The 12,438-nt window shown below is 42.5% G+C and overlaps 1 protein-coding gene across 6 annotated transcripts in view, besides 2 other annotated features; it reads right to left on the bottom strand.

The window, feature by feature from the left end:
* The window catches only part of PIWIL2 (piwi like RNA-mediated gene silencing 2), an 82,253-nt gene that overhangs the window by 60,785 nt on the left and 9,030 nt on the right, over positions 1-12,438 (bottom strand). For all 6 annotated transcript variants that reach the window (NM_018068.5, NM_001330480.2, XM_005273551.5 and 3 more), the window contains exons 7-10: positions 9,139-9,256; positions 8,118-8,242; positions 6,857-6,937; positions 6,438-6,551 (exon numbers count right to left, since the gene is read on the bottom strand). In NM_018068.5, the coding sequence (NP_060538.2) occupies positions 6,438-6,551; positions 6,857-6,937; positions 8,118-8,242; positions 9,139-9,256 (438 nt within the window). The remainder of the gene's footprint in view (positions 1-6,437; positions 6,552-6,856; positions 6,938-8,117; positions 8,243-9,138; positions 9,257-12,438) is intronic.
* Positions 4,454-4,748: a silencer, noted in NCBI's record as "tiled region #10265; K562 Repressive non-DNase unmatched - State 7:EnhWF". NCBI's record gives its function as "represses a minimal TATA promoter and a strong SV40 promoter by Sharpr-MPRA in K562 cells {active_cell/tissue: K562}" and the evidence as "EXISTENCE:reporter gene assay evidence [ECO:0000049][PMID:27701403]".
* Positions 4,912-5,081: an enhancer, noted in NCBI's record as "experimental_102848 CRE fragment used in MPRA reporter constructs". NCBI's record gives its function as "activates a minimal promoter by MPRAs in K562 erythroleukemia cells, with activity observed for both the introgressed and non-introgressed 8:22149301 variant alleles {active_cell/tissue: K562}" and the evidence as "EXISTENCE:reporter gene assay evidence [ECO:0000049][PMID:34662402]".

Raw genomic sequence — 12,438 nt, 5'->3', positions numbered from 1 at the left:
GGATGCAGGAAGGAATAAAGAACAAATAAAATTTCAGAAGACAACAGTAAAGAAAAACTCCCAAAGCTCCCAAAGGGGCAGGACAGGGTGAGGAGAGACATACAAAGATTCTGGAATCAGAAATTAAAACAGCTTTAGATCTTTCAACAGTAAATCTAAAAGCAAGGACGATGGAGTAGTGCCTTCAAAATTCTCAGGGTAAAGTATCTCCAAACTAGATTTATAACCTAGAGTTATACACCCAATCAAACTAGACAACTACTTTGTAAGCTAAAGACATTTTTCAAACATGTAAGGTCTGAAAATAATTTCCTCCAATGCATACTTCTTCTGGAAAATACTGGAGTATATATGCTACACTAAAACAAGGGAATAAATCAAGAAAGCAGCAGTTATGAGATCTGACATACAGGAGATTCCCCTTAAGAAGGGAAGAGGGGGCCAGGCGCGGTGGCTCATGCCTGTAATCCCAGCACTTTGGGAGACTGAGGCAGGTGGATCACAAGGTCAAGAGATCGAGACCGTCCTCATCAATGTGGTGAGACCCTGTCTCTACAAAAATTAGCTGGGCGTGGTGGCGCACGCCTGTAGTCCCAGCTACTCAGGAGGCTGAGGCAGGAGAATTGCTTGAACCTGGGAGGTGGAAGTTGCAGTGAGCCGAGATCGCACCACTGCACTCTAGCCTGGGCAACAGAGCAAGACTCCATCTCAACAACAACAACAACAAAAAAAAAAAAAAAAAAAAAAAAAAAAAAAAAAAAAAGAAGGGAAGAGGAACCCCAAGACAGTGATGGTTCAGCCAGCCGGGAGAGCAACCAGCCGAACTGAAGCCGATCAGATTCTAACAGACATTTCTAAGATGGTATTGAATTCAGTAGGAATGGCTCATTAAATCAATTGAGAACTTACAAGTGACGTAAGAAAGTAACCTTATTTTGTAAACCTTAGTTGACTTACTACCCTTTAGAAGTATGCAAACCATTCCTGGGTGATGAAAAGAAAAGCTGTTACATTTTTAAACACCGAGCTCTTCTCACCTCCAGGAAAATAAATGCTCTTCTGTGGTTTCCAGTGATCCATAAGAACAGGGAACGAAGGTGGTAGAACACCAAGCCAGTAACAGCTGCAGGGGACAAGGGAGGACAGCCTGCAGAGCTCCCTGACAGACATGGACATGCTCTCGGGGCTGAGCAGCTACACTGAGAGGGTCCATGTGTGACATAACGGGGTAATGCCTGACACAGGCCTTCTCACTATCTTGGAGAAGAGGTTCTCAAAGCTAGATCTAGATCACCCCAAAAATGTGGTATTTGGACGGGAGGGGAATGAAACTGACAAAATACCTAGTGTTTTCAATGTATAGTGAAGGGATTACACAACTCGGTGTGAATTTGAGCTTAAATTAGTGGTAAGTACATATAAAATTACGTACTTAGAAAAAAAAAAGCTGAGCATAGTGGCACAAGCCTGTAGCCCCAGTTACTCAGGAAGCTGAGGCAGAAAGATCACTTGAGCCCAAGAATTCAAGGCTGCAGTGAGCAATGATCATGCCTGTGAATAGCCACTGCACTTCAGTCTGGGCCATGAAATGAGACCTTGTCTCGAAGAAAGGAGGAAAGAAGGAAGGAAAGAAAGGAATGAATTTTTTTAACAAAAAAAAATCCAAGATAACTGTGGAGAAAATAAAAATATTTTTTTTTTCCCCCAGACGAAGTCTCGCTCTGTTGCCCAGGCTAGAGTACACTGGCACGATCTCGGCTCACTGCAACCTCCACCTCCCAGGTTCAAGCCATTCTCCTGCCTCAGCCTCTGGAGTAGCTGGGACTACAGCCCTGCGCCACCACGCCCAGTTAATTTTTTTTTTTTTTTTTTTTTTTTTTTTTCCAGTAAAGATGGGATTTCACCATGTTGGCTAGACTGGTCTCAACTTCCTGACCTCAAGTGATCCGCCTGCCTCGGCCTCCCAAAGTCCTGGGATGACAGGCATGAGCCACTGTGCCTGGCCAAAACAAAATACATTTCAATAAATATGGAAAGACATGCCATATTTTTCAATAGGACTCATTGAACAGTCTCCCTAGTCAATGACCATCAAAATGCCAACTGATGTTTTTCTTTTTTTTTTTTTTTTTTTTTTTTGAGACAGAGTCTTGCTCACTCTGTCGCCCAGGCTGGAGTGCACTGGCACAATCTCGGCTCACTGCAAGCTCCGCCTCCTGGGTTCACGCCAATCTCCTGCCTCATCCTCCTGAGTAGCTGGGACTACAGGTGCCCGCCATCACGCCCGGCTAATTTTTTGTATTTTTAGTAGAGACGGGGTTTCACCGTGTTGGCCAGGATGGTCTCGATCGCCTGACTTCATGATCTGCCCGCCTCGGCCTCCCAAAGTGTTGGGATTACAGGCGTGAGCCACCACGCTCGGACCTTTTTTTTTTTTTTTTTTTTTTAAAGACAGTCTCACTCCGTCACCCAGGCTGGAGTGTAATGGCATGATCTTGGCTCACTGCAACCTCTGCCTCCCGGGTTCAAGCGATTCTCGTGCCTCCGCCTCCTAAGTAGCTGGAATTACAGGCGTGTGCCACCACGCCTGGCTAATTTTTGTATTTTTAGCAGAGACAGGGTTTCACCATGTTGGCCAGGCTGGTCTTGAACTGCTGACCTCAACTGATCCTCCCGCCTCGGCCTCCCAAAATGTCAGGATTACAGAGGTGAGCCACCGCATCTGGCCAAAACAAAATAAATTTCAATAAATGGAAAGACATGCCATATTTTTCAACAGGAAGACTAAGTGAACATTCTCCCTAGTCAATGCCCATCAAAATGCTAAACAACTTTTTTCTTATTTTCACTAAATTATTCAAAGGATCAAATGAAAGAGTATGTGGGTGACATTCACCATGAAAATTCTGAAAATAAAATTCTGACAAATATCAAAAACCAAAAAAAGTACAGTATTTTAGATAGAATCACATTAGTTTGGACCAATAGCTCAAACTGAAAGTTCAGAAATAAATCCAGGTATTTTAGCATATAAGGCAGTGATTTGAATCTGTGGAAAAAAAGAATGTTTTTCAATAATTGTATAATAGTACAGAGACAACCATGATAATCCCAACTTCATATCAAGGTAAATCCATAGAGTTTGAAACACTGAAAATAGGCCTGGCGTGGTGGTTCATGCCTGTAATCCCAGCACTTTGGGAAGCTGAGGCAGGCGGATTACCTGACGGCAGGAGTTCAAGACCAGCCTGGCCAACATGGCGAAACCCTGTCTCTACTAAAAATAGAAAAATTAGCCAGGTGTGGTGGCAACTACTCAGAAGGCCTGAGGCAGGAGAATCACTTGAACCCGGAAGGTGGAGGTTGCAGTGAACCAACATCATGTCATTGCACTCCAGCCTGGGCAACAGGAGTGAAACTCCATCTCAAAAAAGACAAAAAAAAAAGGAAAATAAAAACTAGTTCTGTTTTTTTGAAGACAGGGTCTCACTTGCTTGCCTAGGCTGGAGTACAGTAGCACTACCATAGCACATTGCAGCCTTGAACCCCTGGCCTCAAGCAGTCCTCCCACCTTGGCCTCCCAAAGCGCTGGATTATAGCCATGAACCAGACCATCCCTGGCCAAGCAGACCTTTCTAAGCAGAAAAGCAAAGGCATTCACTGAAAGTACATGCAAGAAAAATAAATATATAAAAGCAAAGGCAGAAACTGCAAAAAAAGAAATAGCCGATTTGAAGACATATACTTTTATTTAATAAATATTCTTGAACATTTACTGTGTACAATTAAATAAAACTTACAGGAGGCTATTGGCTTGGACTGGGCTCCTGCACTAGGCCCAACAGAGCAAACCAAAAATGGAGTTACTCATGCTGAAGTTCCATGCCACCAAATAGAAACTAAGATCTTTATCTGACTTTCTGAGAAATCAGGAGAGACACATAATAGCCAAATCCCCAAACAGGCCAGTTTTAGTATGATAAAGATGTCCCCTCTGCTTTAACCTTTACAAGGAAAGTAACAAACGACCAATCTCCTTTTTGTTCTGTTTCTGATTCTCTGGCCCTTTTCTGTCTATAAAGCCAACCTCCGCTGCTCAGCTCATCAGAACCCTCAAGGTGTTACCCAATTCATGAACTCCAAATAAAAGCCAATAATTGTGTCCTTTGACAGTGCTAAGCCCTATATTAAGTCTAAGTGTACAGGGTGAGCAAAAAAGACACGGCCTCTGCCAGAGGAGCTGACAGTCTAGGAGATACAGAATAATTATAAAAAAGTTCAAGGCATCTTCAGCTTCTCTTTCTCTTATCCCACATGCACTCAGGAAATCCACTTAAGTGCCACTTTCAAAATACAGATGTCCAGAATCTGACTCCTTACCACCTCCATCGCTACCATCCTCATGGCTCCACTGGATTACCACAGCCTCTTGACTGGTGTTCCCACTTCCATCCTCAGTCAGCCAAGTCTATTCTCCACACAGCAACAACAGGGATCCTTTCAACAGTCCAAGTTGGGTCTTGCCCGTGCACTGCTCAAAGTCCTGCATTTCACTCACAGTGAAAGTTAAAACCCTCACAAAAGCCCTACAAAGCCCTGTGTAATCAGCTCCTCCATTTGCTCTGCCCCTCCATCACCCTGCTTGCTCACTCGGCTCTAGCCACCCTGCATGTGCCTGCACCAGGCCTGTTTCTGTCTTAAGGTCTGTGCCTGAGCTGTCCACATGCCAAAAGCTTCTTCTCCCTTCACCTGGCTAACCTCTTACCTCTTTCAAGCGTTTGCTCAAATGAGCTTGACCACTCCACTTAAAACTGCAATTCTCCGCCCCCTGCCCCACTACTTCTGATTGCCCTGACCGTGTGCTCTTTTTCTTTTTTCCATGGCTCTTATCGCTTTTATTACACTATACAATTTATTTATTACATTTATTATTTACTGTTCATCTCCCCTGGTAACAACAGAGGCTCTGTGAGGGGAGGGATCTTTGTTTTGCTATCTGATAGGTCCTAAGACTCTGGTTCATAACTGGAGCTCAGTAAGTATACACTGAAGCAATGAATGAAATGGTCAGAGGAGCAAAGATTTACAAGCCCGATAACACCCAGTGGTTGTACATAGCTGGTGGGAAAAGAAACTGAATAAATCTTCTACAGGGTAATTTGTCAAGATACAGTTAACTATCATATTATATTAGATATATATTAAAAGGATTTAGAATGTTCAGCCCTTCCATTAAGTAATTCTACTTCCAAGTACATGGCCTAAAAAAATCAGATGTACAGACTTATGTGTAAGATGAGATTTCATGCAACCACTAAAAATTATACACATCTGGCTGGGCACGGTGGCTTGTGCCTGTAATCCCAGCACTTTGGGAGGCTGAGGCGGGCAGATCTCCTGAGCTCAGGAGTTCAAGACGAGCCTGGGAAACATGGTGAAACCCTATCTCTACTAAAATACAAAAAATTAGCCAGACATGGAGGCATGCACCTGTGGTCCTGGCTACTCGGGAGGCTGAAGCAAGAGAATTGTTTCAACCCAGGAGGCAGAGGTTGCAGTGAGTTGAGATCACACTACTGCACTTCAGCCTAAGCAACAGAGAGAGACTCTCTCTCAGAAAAAAAAAAAGAAAAGAAAAGAAAAAAAAATTAGCCGGACATGGTGGCGGGCGCCTATAATTCCAGCTACTCAGGAGGCTGAGGCAGGAGAATCACTTGAACCCAAGAGGTAGAGGGTGCAGTGAGCCAAGATTGCACCACTGCACTCCAGCCTGGGTGATAGAGTGAGACTCTGTCTCAATTAAAAAAAATATATATACACATCTGTATTTACTACAGTAACACATACATTGTATATTATTATATGCAAACTCAGCATGCGCATATATCAAACCAAGTTCTCCTAACCACAAATTTAAACAAAACTCCTTCTCAAAGCACAGCAGATGTCTATTCAGATGCTTATCTCAGGAGGACTAGAGACGAGGGCACATATATTCAGTTCAGTTATTCTACAACTAAAAATCTAAACAGGGCTGGGTGCCATGACTCATGCCTATAATCTCAACACCTTGAGAGGCTGAGGTAGGAGGATCCCTTGAAGCCAGGAAACATAGCAGGCTGGGAAACATAGCAAGACCCTATCTCTACAAAAAAAAAAAAAAAAAAAAATTAAAAATTGGCTGGGCATGGTAGCACACCCGTAGTCCTGGCTACTCAGAAGGCTGAGGTGGTAGGATCACTTGAACCCAGGAGTTCAGGGTTACAGCGAGCTATGATCAAACCACTGTACTCCAGCCAGGGTGACAAAACAAGACCCTGTCTCTGGGGGAAAAAACAAACAAACAGAACAATGTCTAATGTGTGTTATTACCAGCTGTTACTGAACTTTTCAGAAAATCATCAGCATGTTAAAGATAGACCCCACCATTCACTCACATGACATCCAGCACACAGTCATTCCGAATGACCTTATGGGAGACATCAGCTAGCAGGAAGAGCCCTCCATCTGTCCTTCGGATGCTAGCTGCATAGCCTGGCCAGATCTGCAATCTGGAGAGAGAGGTGGTCTCAACTGTAGGATTTTCAAAGAACACATATACTTCCATGCCCCCATGTGAACAAAACATTGAGGTGATACTGCCCTTCCCTAATAGTAATGAGAAAGCCTCAAGAAACTAAGTTAATTGACATTATTGCAAACTTACTGAAAAACCAAACTAAGGAAGAGATTTAATTGATAAACTGTATTCACTACCATAAACTACTGCTGACATTATAGTACTAAATACAATGGTTGTAATGGAAACTTTCTTTCCAGAACATTCAAAAGTGAGGGAAGGGAAAAAAGTACCAACCTGTGTTGCTGTAGTACCATAGCACTTGTAGGGTCATAAAAGTTTCTCCCCACAAGCTTCATATCTAAAAGTTTCATTACCCTGAAATAAAAAGCAAGTATGAGTTTTCTAATAGAAGAGTAATAAAATTATGTTCCATTATTCTTAGCTACATTTGCCTTTGGAAGTCTGAACGGTTAGAAATGTTTGTGCTCTTTGCAGAAGACAGCTTTTATATTGAGAACAATCTTGTTAAAAGAAAACCAAAAACTGCCAAAGCATTTGACTGAAAAAGCAAAGCAAAATGACAGCAGTCTTTTCCACTTACTAGCTGACCAAACACTGAGTTGGTTTCCAAGGTTTTATTACGTTACTTTTCACCACTAACTACGAAGAATGCAAGACAGCCCATTGCTAAGTGTGTGAATAACAGTGTGGCAAAGGGAGCTATGTTTACTCCTGGCAGTTCAACTTACTAGGTAGAAATTAGGTTCCATGGGCCGGGCGCGGTGGCTTACGCCTCTAATCCCAGCACTTTGGGAGGCTGAGGTGGACAGATCACGAGGTCAAAAGATCGAGACCATCCTGGCCAACAAGATGAAACATCATCTCTATTAAAAATACAAAAATTAGCCAGACGTGGCAGCGCATGCCTGTAATCCCAGCTACTCAGGAGACTGAGGCAGGACAATCACTTGAACCAGGGAGTCGGAGGTTGCAGTGAGCCGGGATTGCGCCACTGCACTACAGCCTGGCGACAGAGCGAGACTCCGTCTCTCAAAAAAAAAAAAAAAAAGAAAAAAGAAAAGAAAAGAAATTAGGTTGTGTTTCATTAAATAAGAGAATAGCGGCTGTATGAAAACTAGGATGTTTCAAAAGAAGTTAAACAATTATGAGCTGTCTGTAATCCAAAAATTCAAGACACTGAAAAATCCTTCCAGCAAATATTTTTACACACAACCTCTTTAAGTAGCCCCCTTGTTACCGTCACCATTAAATATGCACTATCAACAGCCGCTTTCAAAGTTCCTGAACACAACTGGAGGAACCCGTTCCCCTATCCAGCTACCTCCAAACCTAATTTCATATATTCAAATCTGGTCTACCACTTGTGAGATAATTTTTGAGTAAGTTAGCCTCAATACCATCCATTTATTCATTAAATGCTTCCAAACCCATCTAGAATATACTGTCACGTATTTCCATCCAAGTATCTTGAAGAACATTACTGTAAATACAAGACTGAAGTTACAGGACAATAGAACTTCAGCTGTTTTCTTACCGACGGAAAACAACATTGTAGAAGGGAATGCACAGGTCAGAGCAGGGCTCCAGGATCTTTGTCATCTGAATCTTAATGCTGATTTCAGCACTGTCTGTTTTCCTTTGACTTTTTAACTCAAGAACCTAACAAATAAATACACACAGGTGAAACAAAATGACAAAACTAAGAACTAATGACCAAGTCCTAATCTAATTCAACTGTGTTCTTAAGAACACTAAAGTATCTTAAAACATTTTTCTACTTTTCCCCTCACTTTGTTGCCCACACTAGCAAAAGCACAGCATGACAACTACGATTCAGAAAAATGATTTGGTAAGAGAATTCCAACCAAGTTTACATTTGCAATTTTTTTTTTTTTTTTTTTTGGAGACAGAGTCTCGCTCTGTCACCCAGGCTGGAGTGCAGTGGCGTGATCTCGGCTCACTGCAGGCTCCGCCTCCTGGGTTGACGCCATTCTCCTGCCTCAGCCTCCTGAGTAGCTGGGACTACAGGCGCCTGCCACCATGCCCAGCTAATTTTTTTTATTTTTAGTAGAGACAGGGTTTCACCGTGTTAGCCAGGATGGTCTCAATCTCGTGACCTCGTGATCCACCTGACTTAGCCTCCCAAAGTACTAGGATTACAGGCGTGAGCCACCGCACCCGGCCTACATTTGCAATTTTAAGTTACTCTTTATCACTGAGGTCACAGACTTCCAACCATTCCTCTCATGTGAGAAGGTGCTTCTTGAGGAATTCAAACCTAAAATGTGCTGTGATGTCCTGCAGAAATCTGTCTTCCCCTCTATGAACAGAAAAGCACAACTCGAACATACAGGAATTCTATGGTTTCCTACCCCTCAAAACACCAGTCCTGGGCCAGGTGAAGTGGCTCACACGCCTGTAGTCCCAGGGCTTTGGGAATTCGAGACCAGTCTGGGCAACATAGCAAGACCCAATCTCTTAAAAGCAAAACCAAACAAAAAACGCCAGAGCACTCTTAGGGTTCATCTCAAAGTCCATTTCCTGTTTGGTCTCACTTGTTGAAGCTTAACAGGCAGATAGAGAATAGATCCATCAAACGCAGTGACGTTGCCGGTGACAGCTTGATGGTCCTTCAACATGCCGAACCTCATGCTTTTGCACTCCACATTGGGGCTGGAAAATAATGAAGAGGATTTTCCTTTAACTTGACTCAAACTGCAATCTTTACCAGAGCTGTGCAACAGGTGCTAGTTACCCAGTAACTGCTGCTCCATCTAGCGGGCATATTAAAAATTATCTATCTGCCTAGAACTTTGACTCAAGAAGACCTGCTCGCAGCTGAAACATCAGAAACCATAGGTCATAAAAAAATAAAAACCACCAAATCCTACCACCAAAGGACACCTGCCTTAGCACGTCAGTGTATATTCTTTCATATATACACATTTGTTTTTGAGACGGAGTCTCGCTCTGCCGCCCAGGCTGGAGTGCAGTGAAGCCATCTCAGCTCACTGCAATCTCCACCTCCCAAGTTCAAGTGACTCTCCCTTTGTTTCCTTAACATTTGTCACTCCATTTTAAGAGGAAGACTTCTCCCCATCTCCCTTTTTTTTTTTGAGATAGGGTCTTCCTTTGTCACCCAGGCTGAAGTACACTGGCATGATCATAGCTCACTGCCATCTCAAACTCCTGGGCTCAAGTGATCCTTCTGCCTCAGTCCCCCAAGTAACTGGGACTATAAGGGTACCACCACACCTGACTAAAAAAAAATTTTTTTTTGCCCTGGCTCGGTGGCTCATGCCTGTAATCCCAGCACTTTGGGAGGCCGAGGTGGGTGATCACTTGAGGCCAGGAGTTCAAGATCACTCTGGCCATCACGGTGAAACCCTGTTCTACTAAAAATACAAAAAAATTAGTGGGGTGTGGTGGCATGTGGTTGTAATCCCAGTTACTCGGGAGGCTGAGGCATGAGAATCATTTCAGCCTGGGAGATGGAGGTAGCACTGAGGCAAGACTGTGCCACTGCACTCCGGCCTGCGCAACAGAGTGAGACTCTGTCTCAAAATAAATAAATAAATAAAATTTTTTGTTGTTGTTACCTAAGACAGTCTGGAACTCCTAGCCTCAAGCAACTCTCCCTCCTCGGCCTCCCTAAGTGCTGGGATTACAGACGTGAGCCACTGCATGCAGCCCTCTCCCCTCTGTTTAATGCTCACCTCTTTGCTGTATGTTTCACAACAAGCCTGTTTCCTGGGATCCAATTTCCCCCACTTTTCTGGCTACTTCCCTCTACCTGTTGTATGTGCTCAGCTCCGCTTTCTTACCTCATAGAAACTATTACAGCAATCCTGTTGCCTTCTATAATTATTCCATTTCTCATTCCTCTTATAAACTTTTTAAATGAGTGGCCAAGTCAGTGGCTACTTCTCATGGCCTATGCCCTCCTTTGTGCTTTTCATCTTTCCTTTTTTTTCTCTACAACTGTAACAAAACTGCTAGAAGATCACAACACCCTCAACAAGCAAATTCAGTTGCTTTTTTTCCTGTGGCCAAAGTCAACCACCTTCTCATTACCTTCATTCAAAAGAGTCCTTCCTTTGGTCTTTATAACATACCTTCAGAATATTTTCTCCCTAACTGTTCCTTTCTCCTCTCTTTCACTCCACTTCTTCCTCTTGTGTCATCAACTAGCAGCTGCCCTTCACAAATTCAGCCTTCCTAGTATAGCTACCTTTAGAAATAGTATAGAAGTTTCTGGCCAGGCATGGTGGCTCATGCCGGTAATCCCAGCACTTTGGGAGGCCGAGGCAGGTGGATTACTTGAGGTCAGGAGTTTGAGACCAGCCTGGTCGACATGGCAAAACCCCGACTCTACTAAAAAAAATACAAAAATTAGCCAGGCATGGGGGCGCTTGCCTATAATCCCAGCTACTAGGGAGGCTGAGGCAAGAGAATTGCTTGAACCTTGGAGGCAGAGGTTGCAGTGAGCTGAGATTGCACCACTGCACTCCAGCCTGGGTGACAGATTGAGACCCTGTCTCAAAAGAAAAAAAAAAGAAATAGTATGGAAGTTTCTTAAAAAAACTAAAAATAGTACTAATATGATCCAACAATCCCACTTCTTGGTATTTATCCAAAGGAATTGAAATCAGTGTGTCAAAGAGATATATGTGCACTCCCATGTTCACTGCAGCACTGTTCACAACAGGCAAGACGTGGAATCAATCTAAGTGTCCACTGAATGGATAAAGTGGTATACATACACAACGGAATACTATATAGCCTTTAAAAAGAAGTACATCCTGTCATATGTGACAGTATGAAAGGATCTGGAGAGTATTATGGTAAGTGAAATAAGATAGGCACAGAAAGACAAATACCATCTGATCTCACTCATATATGGAATCTAAAAAAGTTGAACTCATTGTGAACAGAGAGTAGGAAGGTGGCTACCAGAGGCTGGGGGTTGAGGGGTATGGAGAAATGGCAGATGTTGGTTAAAATGTACAAAGTTTCAGATAGACAGGTGGAGTAAGTTTTAGTGATCTATGGTAACCATAGTTAACAACAGCGTGTATTTCAAAATTCCTGAAAGAGATTTTAAATGTTTTCACCACAAAAAAACAGTAAGTAGGTGAGGTGACACATATGTCAATTAGCCTGACTTAATCTTTCTACAATGTATACATATACCAAAACATCATCTTGTACTCATACATATACACAATTATTTTTCAGTTAAAAAAACTGAGACTTCATCTTCTCATTTTCTTCACAGGTATTTCAAAACACTCATTTTCACAATTCCAGCTAAGAACTTCCAGCTAATGACTCCTCTAAGATATTAAGAGAGAACACAAACTAATATAAACTATTTTTAAATAGTAATAAATCCTAAAATTATTGATATAAAACTGCAGTTATCTTCCTTCATTTTTCTCACCCCTAAATTTAACCCTAGACTGTCACTAGAGAGATGTCAGATGTTGGTATGATGGCTCATGCAGGAAAGGATCCAGGTTTCATAGGGCATGGATTTCACACCACTGATGGGGGAGGGGGGAGGGTTCTTTAAGAAAAAGAATACAAAATTACACATACAAAATAAGTTAAAAGATCATGGAAGACACCTAATGCAAGTTTTAAAAGGCCCTGAACTTAAGCTTCATTAATTTCACATTAAATTAACTTCTAGCCTCATGTATAAATCTACACCCTATGAAGTTAAAATCGAGATTGGTAATATAGCTAAATACATACACAAAGTTTAAGATTAACCTTAAACTTCCTGTAAGGATCTGAGTAAACACATTATTGCATTGAGACGTCCACCAGGAACTGTCCAGGACAATATT

This window comes from Homo sapiens, chromosome 8 (assembly GCF_000001405.40).
Source record: "Homo sapiens chromosome 8, GRCh38.p14 Primary Assembly".
Classification (NCBI taxonomy): domain Eukaryota; kingdom Metazoa; phylum Chordata; class Mammalia; order Primates; family Hominidae; genus Homo; species Homo sapiens.
The sequence above is the reverse complement of the archived record's forward strand: the minus strand, read 5'-3'. Positions and strand labels throughout refer to the sequence as shown.